This window comes from Homo sapiens, chromosome X, assembly GCF_000001405.40.
Source record: "Homo sapiens chromosome X, GRCh38.p14 Primary Assembly".
Classification (NCBI taxonomy): domain Eukaryota; kingdom Metazoa; phylum Chordata; class Mammalia; order Primates; family Hominidae; genus Homo; species Homo sapiens.
Window position 1 is genome coordinate 151,729,688 of NC_000023.11, and position 16,909 is coordinate 151,746,596.

The following is a 16,909-nucleotide window of genomic DNA, read 5'->3' on the forward strand; positions in this document are numbered from 1 at the left end:
AGCCTGGGCACAGGGGGTCATGGCAGCTTCAGCTCCACACTCAAAAGTCAGCCCAGGAGCCTGCTGCTTCCAGTGCAGTTCTGACCATACCTCTCTTTTTAGTACTTGTGCACTTCCTGGCTCATTTTACCTTCCAAGCTGGCCCTGTGACTGAGGGTGCTTTTGCAGCCAAATTGCTTAGGTATGAATCTGTGCAACGGGGATAAGAATAGTGTCAACTTTGTCAGGTTGTCATGAGGTTTAAACGAATTAACTTATGTCAAGTACTTAGCACAAGGTAGCTGCTCCATGAATGAGAACCTGCCCCTGAATCACCAGATTCCAGCTTCCTGTCAGGGATACCCACTTCTTCCTCTGGGACTTAGCTATTGCTGCTCACCCACACACCTCCCTGCTTCTCTGCCTGTCTGCCCTACCACCCTGCCCCCCATGATGTCTATGACTCTCCTCTGTAGCATTCTCTGCCTGCCACCCAAGACTTTTTCCACTGCAATGGAAAATATCTGATATTAAAACATATCAGATATTGACTACCTGGGGGACTAGTTTCTGGCTAAGACGTATAGTAGTCTGACTCTCTAGGCTGTCAACCATGGAGAAGATCCCTTCCCAGTATCAGTGGAAAAACTTTGGCTTGACCTGGTATTAAGTTGAACCTGAAACCAAAATGGGCTGGATTTTTGTTGCTGTTGTTGTTTTAAACTAAAGTTTAAAGTAATATTTTATTTTATTATATAGCCCTATAACCTCCCTTCCCGACTACAGACATCACACATTACAATACAGAATATCGGACACTATAAAAAATATACAAAAGAAAACAATTTCCCCACACCCTCAGAATTGAGAAATAAAGTCTTGATCTTGTGAGTTTATGTATCTACGTGTGAATATATATCACACATGCATGCATGGAAATTATTAACATAACAGAACATTCCATTTTGAAACCTGGTATCCCCCTGACAAGAAGTAGTCTTTTACAATAGTAATACCATTTTAAGGGCTGCATAGCATTCCACCCTATGGTCTTGGTTCACTCGGTTAATTGATTAATTCATTAAGGTATACGTCACTGTGACTAGCATCCTTGCACCTGTATTTTTGTGATTTTACTGTTTTTATTTTTTTAATATATTGACTTGTAAGATCTCTGTTTATAAAAAAAATCAATCTTTTTCTTTCTCTGTCAAATTTGTTTTCAGTTTATTGTATTCTTTTAAATGTTGGGTTTAATGTGCATTTATGTTCAATGTTTTCTTTCATGATATTGTCTTTCTAACTCAATATTATGTAAAATGTTTCCTACTGTTTCATCATCATAGTTTTGTTGTTTACATTAAATTTTTTTGTTGATACATAGAGATGATAAATATTTATGTGGTACACGTGATATTTTGGTGCATGCATACAATGTGTAATAATCAAATCTGTGTAACTGGGATACTCATAATCTCAAACATTTATTATTTTTTGTGTCGAGACTATTTCAAATCTTCTCTTTTAGCAGTTTTGAAATATACTATGAATTATTAACCATACTCTATTTAAAACATTTATTTTTATTCCCAGTACTTATGCGCTTCATTTATTTTTCTTGCTTATTGCACTGACTGAGGAATCCAGCACAGTAGTGTTTAGAAATGGTGATAGTTTACGTACTTTTTAAAATTCCTTTTACAAGAGATCACAGTGGAGCAATCTCAGCTCACTGCAACCTCCACCTCCCATGTTCAAGCAATTCTTGTGCCTCAGCCTCCCGAGTAGCTGGGATTACAGATGCCTGCCACCACGCCCAGCTAATTTTTGTATTTTTAGTAGAGATGAGGTTTTGCCACATTGGCCAGGCTGGTCTTGAACTGCTGGCCTCAAGTGATCCACCTGCCCCAACCTCCCAAAGTGCTGGGATTAGAGGCGTGAGCCACCGTGCCCTACCTAGAATTCCTAATCCCATGAAAAAGGAAAATAATTTCTTAATATTGAAATAGATTATAATTATATATAATATATATTTATATATTATATATATATTTCTATGTATATATTAGGAATAGAAAGAAGGTCCTTTCTATTTCTAATTTCCTAAGATATTTAATGTATACATATGTAACAAACCTGCACGTTGTGTACATGTACCCTAAAATTTAAAGTATAAAAAAGAAAACTCTCCCTTTATAGCTTTAGAAAATTGCACAAGAAAAAAAAGTAAATAAGTTCTGAATTTTGTTCAATATTTTTTCTATACCAACTGGGGTGATGTAATTTTTTTCTGCTTTAACTAGATCAAGTATTCTAACTATATTGATTGAATCCTTTAAGTCCTTATTGAGCTTCTTCTGCTTTTCTATCAAGGATGGGCTGGGTTGTATGAGAAGCTGGGACGTCTGGTTACTTAGAGAAACCGGTTTCATGAGCTACTCCCTCACCAACCCGCTCCCCAGGAAGACCTCCTGCATCTGTTCTCCCCTGCTCAATGCTTCAGGCTCAGGAGTTCCCTTTTCTGAGCTCTGTCTTCTGAGATTCCTCAGAACTTCACCAAGATCTAGTCTTTATGTCTTTTTCCCTCTCTCTCCCTCTCTTCCTTCCTTCCACCAACATGTAGGCAATGCTTTTCAGGAGCCACCCTCAGTGCAGTGCAGGGATGTAGTGGACAAGAACACGGACACTGATGCCTGCCCTCAGGCAGTACACATTGTAGTGCAGGCAGTATTGGCAAGAAGGGTGGCATAGTCTGAATACAGGCTTCACCCTAGGACCAGGGAAACTTGGCAGAAAGCTGTAGACAGGGAGAGGGAGCCTGGGCATGCTCTTCAGGGAGAAGTTAGAATGCCAAGCCACCCTGGAAGCCAGCAGTTGAGGGTCTGAAGGCCCAGTCAGTCACAAATGTCTATCTGTCAAAGGGCTGATGGTGGCGATAAATAGTGTGACTTGACGCAAGATGAGCTGCAGTTTTCCAAGGGCAGCCAGAGAGTAATGTCCAGTTGGAAGTTGGAAGGAAAGCCTGAAGCTTAGCAGAGAGGTCTTGTTGTCACCTGTACCTTTGTTAGTGGATATTAGATGCCATCTGTACTTTTGTGATTCAGTGCATAATGTGTCTTCTTTCTCGGGCAACTTTTACGATTTCCCTATTATCAGTGGATGTGGGCACTTTGATACTCACATGCCTTGGTGTAGTTTCCACTGACGCTTTGCCTTTTGTTGTTGCTGTTGCTGCTATTGTTGTTTTCTGATTGTCTTTTCTCTCTGTGCTACATTGTGGATAGTTTTATTGTCTAAATAAATACTGTAAATTCATTTTAAAATAAGTTTGTCTGTATGTTCACTAATTCCTTCTTCTGCAATATCTGATCTTCTGTTAATCCCATATAGTGTAATTTTCATCTCAAATATTGTAGTTTTCATCTTTAGAAATTTGACTTGGATCTTTTTATATATTTCATGGCCCTGCTTAACTTTTTGAACATATAGAATATAGTTGTATTAGCTGTTTTCATATTCTTGTGTACTAATTGTACATCTGTGTCAATTCTGGGTTTATTTCAATTGATAGATTGTTGCCTCCTCATTATTGAGAATTTATTTGCATGGCTGATAATTTCTGAGTGGATGCCACACATTGTGATTTTTACTTTGTTGGGTGCTGTGTGTTTTTGTATTTCTAGAAACATTCTTGAGGCTTGTTCTGGTGTGAAGTTAATGGAAAGAGTTTGATCCTTTTGGGTCTTGCTTTTAAGATTTTTCAGTAGGACTAGAACAGTGCTCAGTGAAAGGACCAGTTATTCCTCATGAGTGAGGCAAGCCCCTTCTAGGCACTCTACCCAATAGCCCATGAACCACTAGGTTTCCAGTTTGACTGGTGGCATGAGACACTATTCCAGGCCCTGTGTGAGAGCTGGGAACTGTAATGCCTAATTTGGGGGGATGGTTCTTTCCTAAGCTGTGGGTAACCCCCTCATCAGTGTGTGCAAATAAGCACTCAGATGAATACTTGGGACAGACTCTTTGCAGGTCTCCAGAGCTCTCTCTGTGCAGCTCTCTCCTCTGCAGTACCCTGTTCTGCAAACTTTAGCTGCTTTGGTCTCCTTTCATTCTGTTCTCTGTGTCCCTAACCCAGGGAGTCATCCATCAAGTTCCACCTGCATTCCCCTCTGTGCCATCGTCTGGAAACTCTCACAAAGGAGTAATCTGGGGCAGTCACCAGATTCACATTTGGCTCCTGTCTCTTAGGAATAGCTATCCTTTGTTGCCTAACGTTTATAGTCTTGAAAACTGTTGTGTCGCATATTTTTTCTATGTTTGGTTGTTTCATTCTGGAGGAAAAATATGATCCCTGTTACCCCATGTTGGCTAAGAGGAAAAGTGTTGCATGTTCCTTTAAAATCAAATAATTGATATAGCAGAATCTTATGCTGTGCAATGAAAGTAAAAAGAGAGGGAGTAATGGACTGGGAAAAATGCAGGGACCATGCATAGACTACTCATTTAAAACTTATTTATTGAGCACCTACTATGTTCCAGGCACTGAGAAAAGGTGGTAGCTTTGATTAACGTGGTAATGGTGGAGATAAAAAGTGATTGGATAAGAGGTATGTTTTGAAGGTAGAGCCCATATGATTTGCATATATGTAGAGTCCATGGGGTATGAAAAAAAGAGGAGTCAAGGATGATGCTGAGGTTTGTGACCTGAGTAACTGGGAGTATGGCTTTGCCTTTACTGAGATGCAGATGATTATGGAAGGATAAGCTTTTGAGGGGAAGATAACTCACTTTTGGACATATGGAGCCTGAGATGCCTATTCAAAATCCAAGTGGTTATGTGAGGGAGGTAAATTACTATCCATGGGATAGGTTGAACTGGTGTTAAGAGTTTGCAAGTCATCAACATACAGACGTATTTAAAGCCATGAGACTGGAGAAGGAGGTGATGAAGAGAGAAAAGACAAGAAGTCCATTGAAGGACTGAGTTTGGGACACTCCGACATTTAGAGTTGGAGAAGAAGAGGAGGCCTCTTCAAAGAACACTGAGAAGTGGCCAGTGAGGAGGAGGAGAACGAAGGGAGTAGACTCTATTATTTCAAGAAAGATGGCGTGGATAAACTGTTAGATGCTGCTCAGAAACACAATAGAACATGGACAGAGAAGTGACTTGGGATAAATCGTGTTCCTGTCTATCTCTTACTCTGGGACCACCACTGAGCTCGAGACTGCCAGACACTTCTTTCTAAACTCAGCACCCAGCAAAGGACCTGGCACATAGTAGGTGTCTTGGGGATGTGTGTGAGATAGATGAGTGAATGAATGGGCCATGAACTGAAACTTCTAATCTTGGCTATATGATGAACTTGTTCCTTCTCTCTCTGACTTGACTTCTCTAGGAAGGAATTTTCCTCAAAATTCTTTCAATAAACTCCTTGACTAGGCTGGTTTTTCTTTAAAGTCCTGGGCTGGCTGCTCAACTTGTGGATAAGGAGAAAAGAGGCCTACAACTCCACCTTGACTGTGTTTGGACTTTTTACCAAATAATCATGCCTTACTCTAGGTTGTTAAACCACCCTCCTTGAGAATCCCACTGCTCATCTAAGATCTGTTGCCCATCTCTGTTCTCTTTGGTAGGTACATGGTCTGTCATCTTCCTTGCCAAGCCTTTTCTTGTCCTCGCACTTGTTTGGTATCTCCTGTCTGTCCTTGCAGCAGCTATTGCAAACGTTCTGGCCTCCAAAGTCTGCACCTACTGCTGCCTGGTGTCTCTGAAGATGAGATCCCCCCATCCCTCCCATTTCACTTAGAACACTGGGGTTTTGCAAGAGTGAATCCCTTCAACTGTCTTGTGGCCTGTTTCTCAGCAACCCCTTCCCATTGTCCTGGATTTGTCTCCTGTCACTTCCTCTGGTACCTGAACCTTCCCATTCCACCCATGTTTCATGGGCTTCAGCCTCAACTGGAGTGGCTCACAAGCACACATATTTTTATTATCTACTGAATTCCTCCTCAAAACCTTTAAGCTTGCTTTATTATCTTCTTGACATAGAAAATAACAGCAACAGCAAGACAGAGAACCTTTGTCAGCCCCCTATCCTCCTCCAGTTCCCACTCTATCTTTCCTCTTTTTCTTGCTCAGTCTCTTAGAAAGACTGAGCTATGTGCTCTATCTCTTGTCTGTCCCCTCCTACTCCTCGCTTGAAACTTCATGAAACAAGCTCTGTTTGACCACCACTCCTTGACGCTACTCTTGATAAGGTCCCCAGCGAGGCCTCTATTGTTCCACCCAGTGCCCGCTCCAGCTCTCATCTCAGGGGGAAGAAGTACCCGGCATAGAACACTTATCTTCCTGATATGGGAGGGGGGCATTGGCCTTGCAGACAGCTCCCTTCCTGAAAGTTCTGCCTTCCCTGGGAACTCCCTCATGTTTCTCACATCCCCAGCCTCATTCTCCTTCACTCACCCAGCCCCTCAGCTGTCTTTCATGGTTGCAGCTCCCCAGAGCTCTACCCTTAGCTTTTTTCTCTGTTCTCATGATATGGGGATGGACACATCCCCCTGAGAGCTTTACCTGTAATGTAAACCCTGGTGATCATGCGCCCACCTCCAGTCCAGACCCCAGTGAACACTGAGCCATCTGGAGTCCACTGCAGCAGGCCTGGAGAGCCATGTTGAAGGCTTGAGACCAGTCCAGGGCCTTGGGGTTGGAGGGCAATGGGTGGACAGAACTTTGACGCTTTTTGTGGGGACAATCTACTCAGGGCAGAGGCTGCTTGGATGTGATAAAGGAAACAAGGAGTTACGGTTGACACCAGGCTTCCAGCTTGAGTGACTGGGAAGAGGGCAGGCCCCTTTCAGAGGTGGGTAACTTTGAGGAGGAGCTGATTTGACATGATGGTAGCTGGAGCCTTGGGACTTGAGGTTTCCTGGAGAGGGTGTATACATGAGACCCACCAGCCCCACTGCCTTGTTTCCAGCAAGCAGCATGAGGGGGCAGTTTCTGGCAAAGGGGAGGGTGTGCAGGCAGTCAGGCTCAGGGACGGGTCTGTTTCCTGGTACAGAAGGAGCAGGGGTCATGGGGTGGGGGAATCTGCCTTTGTGACAGAACCTTAGAGAGGATGTGAACATATGCTGTGCCCCCAGCACTGGCCTGGCCCTGGATTACAGCCCTTTTGATCTGCCAGCTTCATCTTCAACACCAGCTTTTCCAGGAGGCCAGCCCTGAAACTCTGGTGCGAATGGCTCCGGCTTTGTTTGCATTGCCTGAAACTTTTTGTCTCCATGGTCTGCTGCCTCCAGGGTCCAAGCAGGGACTCAGTGATGCTGGTTCCTTTCCCTCAAGTGCCCTCGTTACTATCCTGGTGCCATAGTTCCGCAGAGAGCACCAGGTGAGCATCTCTGAGGCTGTTTGACGTGCCTGCCATCGCCATGGTGACAGCTTCAGAGGCTGGAACAAGCTTAGGCGGGGGTTGAGGGAGCTCCAGGGACAGCTTCCGGACTGTGGGTCCAGCAGCATGGGCTGTGGGAAATCTGGGGGTCATGCTGACCATTTCTGCCCACACCTGGTAGGGCATGCCAACCAGCCCTGGCAGGGAAGAGCTCCTCCAAGTATCTCCTGACTCTGTGGCAAGAGACACTGTGGGACACAATCTCCTGTCCCTCCTCTAGATTGTTACCTCCTCGGCTGTTCCTTCTCCATCTATTTTGTGGACACCTCATCCTCTGTGCAACTCTGAAATATTGGGGTTCTCCACAACTCTGCCCCAGACCCTCACTCTGTCTCCTCTTTCTTTGTGATCCCACCCACTCTCTCCATTGCTCCCCACATCCACTCCTCTGAGTCCCATTCAATCTCCTTCCCAGATAGTTCCGCACTCTGCCCTCTTGTCTTGGGCTCCATTGGTACTCTTGTCCAGCCTCCTCCCTGCCCCAACCTTCACCCTTGTTCTCCCTCTAATGCAGGCTCCACAGAGCAGCCAGAGGGATTTTTCTGGCACAGAACACTGACTTGTCCCTCTCCTGCTCTGCGCAGAGGAGAGGGCCCTCACTATCAAACTATCAAAGCTGAAACAAAACAAAACAAACAAAAACTGTTTAAGCCATCTTCCTGTGCCTTCGCTTTGCAGATGTCTGGCACATGCTTAAGCTGCCGAGCAGCTCCAAGGCAGCCACTGCCCCAAAGCCCTGGCCCAAGGGAGGAGGTGCGTCTCCCTGGCCCAGAGCAGCTGCTCTCTACCCCACACCTCCCCAAGCCACCCAGCTTTCTGGTTCTCCTCACTGGAGACCACCTCAGAGCTCATGCTCCTTAGGGAAAAGGGAAGCTACTCTGGGTCAGGGAGATGCACTTCCTTGCTTGGGCCAGGGCTTTGGGGCAGTGGCTGCCTTGGAGCTGCTCGGCAGCTTAAATATGTGCCAGACATCTGCAAAGTGAAGGCACAGGAAGATGGCTTAAACAGTTTTTGTTAGTTATGTTTTGTGTTAGCTTTGATAGTTTGTATGTAAAAAAATACTGGGGTAAAATAGAAAAGCAAACGCATTTTGTAGTTTAGCACTGTTTCCATTTACAATTACATATTAGGGTTGGGGGAGTACCCTCATTTTCTTGGGCCCTGGTGCCTGGCATTTAGGGACTGCTGAATCCCACTGCCCTGACTGCCACAGCAGTGCCTGAGGGTGCTGAGGTTGGCCAGGTGGGCCTGGGTTCTAATCCATCCTGTTCACTTGCCACTCTCCCACTCTCTGTGGGTGTCAGGGTCCTCTGTGACCTTCTTCTTGGCCCTCTTCCTGGCAGATAAGTGCTCTGGTTGTACATGGAGGATGACCGAAAAAACCAATGGTGTGAAGAGCTCCCCAGCCAATAATCACAACCATCATGCACCTCCTGCCATCAAGGCCAATGGCAAAGATGACCACAGGACAAGCAGCAGGTGAGTCTGCATGGTATCAGGGAAGGTACAGAGGCTGCTACTTCTTCCCATCTCTGCCTCATTGTCACAGAGCAAGCAATCTTTGTCTCCAGGACAGCCTCTAAAAAGAACATGGGATTTCTAAGCATGACCCAGGAGGGGAGACAAGTCATGCCCTGAGAACCCTGGGTCAATTCTGCTCTTTTTTCTGCAGGCCACACTCTGCAGCTGACGATGACACCTCCTCAGAACTGCAGAGGCTGGCAGACGTGGATGCCCCACAGCAGGGAAGGAGTGGCTTCCGCAGGTGGGTCCCACCACTACCCTGCTGCTTCCCCTTCCTGTGCATGGAGCCTGTCAGGGTGGCTACCACTGCCCTCCTCTTCACGGTCCCACCAGTCCTGTCCACCAAGACCTCCAAGGAGCACTGTCACTGGTAGCCAAATTTAATTCCGTCCTCCTGAGGTCTGGGCAAACCCCAAGGCAGGCAAGCTCAGAGGGGCCAGAAGAGGCCTCCCTTCACATTTGGCTGTCTCAGCATCAGGGAGCGATATCCTTCCCGGTAGAGAGACCTAGGTAGAGGACCCAAGGCCTCTCTGTCCCAGAGTCAGAGGCTCCATAGGGAAAGCAGGAAGCTCAGGGCAAGCTTTACTCATGATAGTTCCTGCCTTAACACCACCTCCAACTTTCCCTGAAGACCTCCTGCTTGCTCTTCGCACCATCAACTGAGATGGCACTTCCTATAGGAAGTCTTCCCAGGACAGCAGTCTCCCCCTGGACTGCATTCAGGGTCATGCCTGAGCCCCAGCCCCCTGCCCTATGGCCTCTACCCCAGCTTTTAGCACACGGGAAATCATGGTCTGGCCTGTTTGTAGGTTTCACTGTCCTTCTTTCATCTTCCTTAGCAGACAGTGAGCTCTTGGGGACTGGTGCTTTCTGAACAGCATGAGTCTTGGCTCTGGCTCATACTCTTTTTCTCTCACCTCTAGGATAGTTCGCCTGGTGGGGATCATCAGAGAATGGGCCAACAAGAATTTCCGAGAGGAGGAACCTAGGCCTGACTCATTCCTCGAGCGTTTTCGTGGGCCTGAACTCCAGACTGTGACCACACAGGAGGGGGATGGCAAAGGCGACAAGGATGGCGAGGACAAAGGCACCAAGTACAGCTGTTCAGCCTATGGGACTCAAATGGGCTTTAAGCATGCAATGGAAGAGCTCACTGGGGTTTCTATGCTACTGCTAGGGGCTATGACAAGCCCTGCTGTAGTAAAAAGAGTGGTGGGCAAGGGTGATTTGCAATGTTTTCACCTCCAGAATATTTCCATTGTTTCCCCAACAGCCAGTGGCCTACTTGCCATGAGAACCTCTGGTGTCTTTTCTCGCCTTAGTTGCCTCTTGCCAGATGTCCTCTTGCTGCACATGAATGTATAGCCCAGTTCCAGTGGTCAGGAAATACTGAGAGGGTGCATTCAGGGAGTGCCCTGGAGGGGATGCCAATCTCATCTCCACTGTGGGCAAGGAAGTGGGTCTTTGAAGAGATCATGTAGAGGGATGGAGGAGAAGCGCTGAATGATGGAGCAGGATAGCATGGGGAGGGCAGAGAAGGCAGAGCTGGAGGGTTTGTCTTTTGAGGAATGAGAAGGCAACTGCAGATGTCTGGCCAAGCTGACATTCCCCACCTCTGGCTAGTGGAGAGAAAGCAGGACACAACATCCCTTGTCAAAGCAGGACACAACATCTGGGGAAGTGATTTGGAGGCTGGAGGCCAATGACCAAAAAGGGAGGGTGAGGTGGGCAGGAAGCTCATGGTGCTCACTCACCTGGAGCACCTCTCTCTAGGGAGGGATGTGGGAATAGGCCTAAGCCCCAATTATCATCCTGTGGAAATCCCTTCCCAGGCCCTGAGACCCACCACTACTGAAAGCTCTGCCCCTTGACATGCCCTCTGGGCAAGGGGCCTGTAACGTGCATGGGAACCAATGGACCTATCTAGGTTCAGAATGAGAAGATGGGTGCCCCCGCCCATCTGAGTTCCACTCAGATGTCCAGTACCAGGTTGTAGTTCCCTGAAAAATGTGGCCCTCAGCCAACCCATCTTTCACCCCACATATACCCTTCGGCAGTGCTTTTGCTTTCTCAGGCACTTCTGGTTTCTGGGAGCTGGGGTGCTATCACACTGGGGGACCTGATCCCCAAACCTTGCCTTTGTCTGTCTTCTCAGGAAGAAATTTGAACTATTTGTCTTGGACCCAGCTGGGGATTGGTACTACTGCTGGCTATTTGTCATTGCCATGCCCGTCCTTTACAACTGGTGCCTGCTGGTGGCCAGGTGAGCAGGGTGGGGCCCAGGAGGGGTGGCCAAAGCAACCCAGTCTTCAGACCCCGGGATTGACGGCGCAGCAGTCCCTGGATACCAATGGCACCTCCAACTTCTCTGTTAACCCCAACCCTCTCCCCATTTAATATGCCATGAAGATTTCTTGTCTGTCCTGTGTCTGGGACAACTACAGTGGTTCCACACACCTAGGGTGCATCCTCCACATTTGCAACAAACATGCTTGATAGCAAACTAGGATTTGGTGATGCCATTCCCTCCTCACAAACCCTTAAGTGGCTCCCCATTGTCCACAGGAGGAAGTTCAAGGTCTAAGCATGGCCTTCAAACTCCTCTGGACCTGACCTTTTTCTCTTGCTACACCTTCTGGATACACCCCAGCCCCAGCATTCACCACTCTTGGATCAGAACATGCTGTTTCCTCTAGAGAAAATTCCCTTTCCCTTCCATTTTCCACCTATGGAGATTCTTCTCCTTGCAGGCTAAGTTCAAAAGCCACTATCTACATGTAGCTTTCCTTGGCAGCATTCCCCATCCTACTCCGTCCCAATCCCAGTCATTCATTCAGCAAGGATTTGACTGAGCACCTCATGTGTGCTCAGTGCTGGGGATAATGTGATGAGCACAACAACCATGGTCTCTGCTCTCCTGGAGCTCTCAGGCTAGTGGCGGACAGTGACTGTAAACCTGAAATGAAACAAATGACCAGAATGATGCCAGGGCCTGGTGGCTAGAGAAAGGGCAGTCAGGATCAGCGTCTCTGAGGAGGTGATGCCTTAGCTCGTGGGAGGGAGGCAGCCAATTAGATACTTGAGGATGGTGGAGGGAGCATTCTGGGCAGAAGAAACAGCAAGTATGAAAACCCTGTCTCGGGATGGCCTAGTGTGGCTGGAGGCTGTGAGTGAGCCATCACTGGCATGGGCCAGCTCTGCAGTCTCAGTGGGAAGGGGAGGGGGCTGGAGTTTGAGTCTGAATGTGACCAAGTAGTCAGACTTAACGGCTCTCCCCTTTGACTAGTACACTCACTGGACAATCATCCTGGGCTGTGTCCCTGACTCTGCTCTCTCCCCAGTCCTCTCCCTACTCAGTTGCCAAATCCTGCCACTTCCTTTTAAAAAGTTCTGCAACCTCCAAACTTTCTCCATTCCCACTACTATTCTCCCTCTCACGTGTATTGGCTAGTGCTGTTTATTGGGTGCTGAATAAGATGTATGTTGAAGAGATGAGCATGGAGATGGTTCAGTTGTGTGCTGTAGTTTATTCTTCCAATGACTTGTTCATTCATTCAACTCACAGCCATTGAGTGCTCAAATCCTGTTGCCCTAGGTCAGGCATGGGGCATGCCGTAATGACTAAGAGGGGTCCCTGCCTTCCTGGAGCTCACAGTTCAGAGGGTGAGACAGAAAATTAATGGTTAGTGGTGCTGTCTATGTAGTGATGTTATGTAATGAGGAGGGGTGGGGCAGAAGTTACTTGTAGATAAATATCTCTTGGCATCAGGCTGACTGTGACTAAATGATGCCCCTGGTAGCCATCCCAAGCCCTGCACACAGTGAACACTCAGTTTGGGGCCTCCAAGGGACCTTTGGCTGGCTTTGGGGGTGAAGCTTAGCCCTGTCCTCCCGCAGAGCCTGCTTCAGTGACCTACAGAAAGGCTACTACCTGGTGTGGCTGGTGCTGGATTATGTCTCAGATGTGGTCTACATTGCGGACCTCTTCATCCGATTGCGCACAGGTCAGTGAGCAACTGGGATGCAGGTAAATCCGAAGGCCTGAGTCCAAATTTTTAGGAAGCCCACTGGACATGGTGTTGGACTAAATTGCTTGGGTGGGACTCTGGTAGGTGAGTACCCTTCTTTGAACCTCATGGTCCCACATGCATAGAGAGGTTTTGATCTCGGGGTGTTCTCTTAGAGTCCTTCTGGCCAGCCCTGGTATGTGAGCTATATCCTTCCTTGGGAAGGAAGTTTCAGTGAGCAGTAGTTTCCTTGCCTAGAGATATTAGCCTATAGGGAAGGATATATATATATATATGTATATGTATATATATATGTATATATATATGTATATATATACATATATATGTGTATATATATATACACATATATATGTATATATATGCACATATATATGTATATATATACCCTGAGGGCAGAGATGACATGCTGGCTTTCATCTCTACTAGGTTTCCTGGAGCAGGGGCTGCTGGTCAAAGATACCAAGAAACTGCGAGACAACTACATCCACACCCTGCAGTTCAAGCTGGATGTGGCTTCCATCATCCCCACTGACCTGATCTATTTTGCTGTGGACATCCACAGCCCTGAGGTGCGCTTCAACCGCCTGCTGCACTTTGCCCGCATGTTTGAGTTCTTTGACCGGACAGAGACACGCACCAACTACCCTAACATCTTCCGCATCAGCAACCTTGTCCTCTACATCTTGGTCATCATCCACTGGAATGCCTGCATCTATTATGCCATCTCCAAATCCATAGGCTTTGGGGTCGACACCTGGGTTTACCCAAACATCACTGACCCTGAGTATGGCTACCTGGCTAGGGAATACATCTATTGCCTTTACTGGTCCACACTGACTCTCACTACCATTGGGGAGACACCACCCCCTGTAAAGGATGAGGAGTACCTATTTGTCATCTTTGACTTCCTGATTGGCGTCCTCATCTTTGCCACCATCGTGGGAAATGTGGGCTCCATGATCTCCAACATGAATGCCACCCGGGCAGAGTTCCAGGCTAAGATCGATGCCGTGAAACACTACATGCAGTTCCGAAAGGTCAGCAAGGGGATGGAAGCCAAGGTCATTAGGTGGTTTGACTACTTGTGGACCAATAAGAAGACAGTGGATGAGCGAGAAATTCTCAAGAATCTGCCAGCCAAGCTCAGGGCTGAGATAGCCATCAATGTCCACTTGTCCACACTCAAGAAAGTGCGCATCTTCCATGATTGTGAGGCTGGCCTGCTGGTAGAGCTGGTACTGAAACTCCGTCCTCAGGTCTTCAGTCCTGGGGATTACATTTGCCGCAAAGGGGACATCGGCAAGGAGATGTACATCATTAAGGAGGGCAAACTGGCAGTGGTGGCTGATGATGGTGTGACTCAGTATGCTCTGCTGTCGGCTGGAAGCTGCTTTGGCGAGATCAGTATCCTTAACATTAAGGGCAGTAAAATGGGCAATCGACGCACAGCTAATATCCGCAGCCTGGGCTACTCAGATCTCTTCTGCTTGTCCAAGGATGATCTTATGGAAGCTGTGACTGAGTACCCTGATGCCAAGAAAGTCCTAGAAGAGAGGGGTCGGGAGATCCTCATGAAGGAGGGACTGCTGGATGAGAACGAAGTGGCAACCAGCATGGAGGTCGACGTGCAGGAGAAGCTAGGGCAGCTGGAGACCAACATGGAAACCTTGTACACTCGCTTTGGCCGCCTGCTGGCTGAGTACACGGGGGCCCAGCAGAAGCTCAAGCAGCGCATCACAGTTCTGGAAACCAAGATGAAACAGAACAATGAAGATGACTACCTGTCTGATGGGATGAACAGCCCTGAGCTGGCTGCTGCTGACGAGCCATAAGACCTGGGGCCCAACTGCCTCTCCAGCATTGGCCTTGGCCTTGATCCCAGAAGCTAGAGGAGCTATTTAGATCTCCGGATTTACATGCATTACCCTCATGTTCCCTGAATTCTCCCAAAAGCCTCTCTGACCCTGGGTTTTTGGCCTAAACATCCAAGATTCCGCCTCCAAGTTTAGCCCAAGTTTGTGGAGAGTACAGACTGCGTTGGCTGGGCTTCCGAGAGCTTCGGCCTGCCTAAGTCTGAGGAAGGGAGAAGGGGGCAGCTGTCTGCCAGGAGTCTGGCTCTTTTGCTCATAGCGACCCCTCCCTTGGTTCTGGCCCCCGCTTTTTCTAACATGTCTTCTGAATGCTTCCTTTTTCCCTGCACACGCATGTACTTCGAGCACCGACTATAGACATTTAGATCAGGTACCCAGTGTCTGTCTCCCACGACAGGCCAAGGGATGTGATAGTGTTGTTGGGAGGGGGTAGAAGGGTGCCCACTCAGGGTTATTCCTCCCCCATCAGATGCTCCAGCTCCTGCTCTGTAGATTGATCTGTCTGTCTGCTAGCCAGGATGGGATCTCTGCAGTCTTCTGTGGACCAAGGAGATAGACCCGGCTTCTGGTCCATTCCAGGGCAGGGAGTGAGGAGCAAGGCAACTGGCATTTGTCCACCTGGAGACAGAGGTAGCTGGCAGCTCTGGCCATCCCTCCCCTATGAAGAGCATTCCTAAAGAGGCCCTGAAAACTGCTGGTGGTGGGGAGACTCTTCAAGTTAATATCTGCATTAGAGGCACCTATGAGTTAAAAAATTCCTTTGAACTATCTGTGGTTATTGCTCAACTCTGCTGTTCACATTCTCTCCCTCCCTTCATTAATCCCTCTCTTTTCACCATATGGTTGTCCCTCAGTATTCATCAGGGATTGCTTTCAGGAGTCCCCATGGATACCAAAATTTGTGGATGTTCAAGTCCCTGATACAAAATGACGTCGTATTTGAATATAACCTATGCACATCCTCCCATACTTTAAGTCATCTCTCGATTATTTGTAACACCTAATACAATGTCAGTGCTATGTAAATAGCTGTTATATTGTATCTTTTCTTTGTATTATTTTGATCTGTTATTTTTTTCCTGCATATTTTTAATCTGCCATTGGTTGAACCTGCAGATGTGAAACGCAAGGATATGAAGGAAAGACTACTTTTCTTTGCCCCTATCCAGAACTCTTTCGGTCTGAAATACACTCTCCCACCTCTCCCTGCCTGCCTAAGCCTTATGGGTCCTTCAGGGCTTACCTCAGGCACCACGTTCTCGCAGAAGGCCCACTTGACTGCAACCACTCCCACACTAGTCAATTATCTCCTCTGTAGGCTCCCACAGCGCAGAGCCTCTCTGTCCTGGTTTTGTAATGTGCGGTCAGTTTTAGTGGACTTGGTTTCCCCTCCTGACTGTGGACAAGGCCAAGACAGTCTACCTCATGTGTCTATTTGGAGCCTCAGTGACATAGCTGGCACTGAGGAGCATTCAGAGAACATTTATTCATTGGGGGAGTAAGTGAACACATGAATGAGTGAATGAATGGATGAATGAGCAAAGAAACACAGCGGACCAAAACTCTCATGCTTCTCCCTGACAGCAGTCATGCCTTGACAGAAGCATTGGCTCTGCTGGGGGAGTTGGGAAAGATCTCCTGGAGTATCAGGTCTTTCAGCTGGGCATTCTAACACGATCAGGAGCCTAAAGGAAAAGTACTAATTAGTGGGCAAGAAAATCCAGGTGCAGACTCAGAGGCCTTCCTGTTCACATGCACACCACTTATTTATTCATGTATTTCTTGTGGTGAAATACACACAAAATTTACCATCGTAATCACTTGTAAGTGTACAGTTCAGTAGTGTTAAGTATATTCACATTTTTGTGAAAACAATCTTGAGAATTTTTCACCTTGCAAAACTGAAACTTTGTCCCCAGTAAAAATTCCCCATTGCTCCTTCTACCCAGCCCCTGGAAGCAACCATTCTACTTTCTGTCTCTATAAATTTAACTTCTCTAGGGACCTCATATAAGTGCTATCATACAGTATTTGTCCTTTGTGTCTGGCTTATTTTACT

At 47.2% G+C, this 16,909-nt stretch overlaps 1 protein-coding gene across 1 annotated transcript; it reads left to right on the forward strand.

The window, feature by feature from the left end:
- CNGA2 (cyclic nucleotide gated channel subunit alpha 2) lies at positions 5,059–15,877 on the forward strand. The gene is made up of 7 exons (NM_005140.3): positions 5,059–5,256; positions 8,771–8,906; positions 9,100–9,192; positions 9,875–10,045; positions 11,107–11,214; positions 12,849–12,955; positions 13,406–15,877. The coding sequence occupies exons 2-7, from the start codon at positions 8,797–8,799 to the stop codon at positions 14,809–14,811; spliced, it is 1,995 nt and encodes a 664-aa protein (NP_005131.1). The 5' UTR covers positions 5,059–5,256; positions 8,771–8,796; the 3' UTR covers positions 14,812–15,877.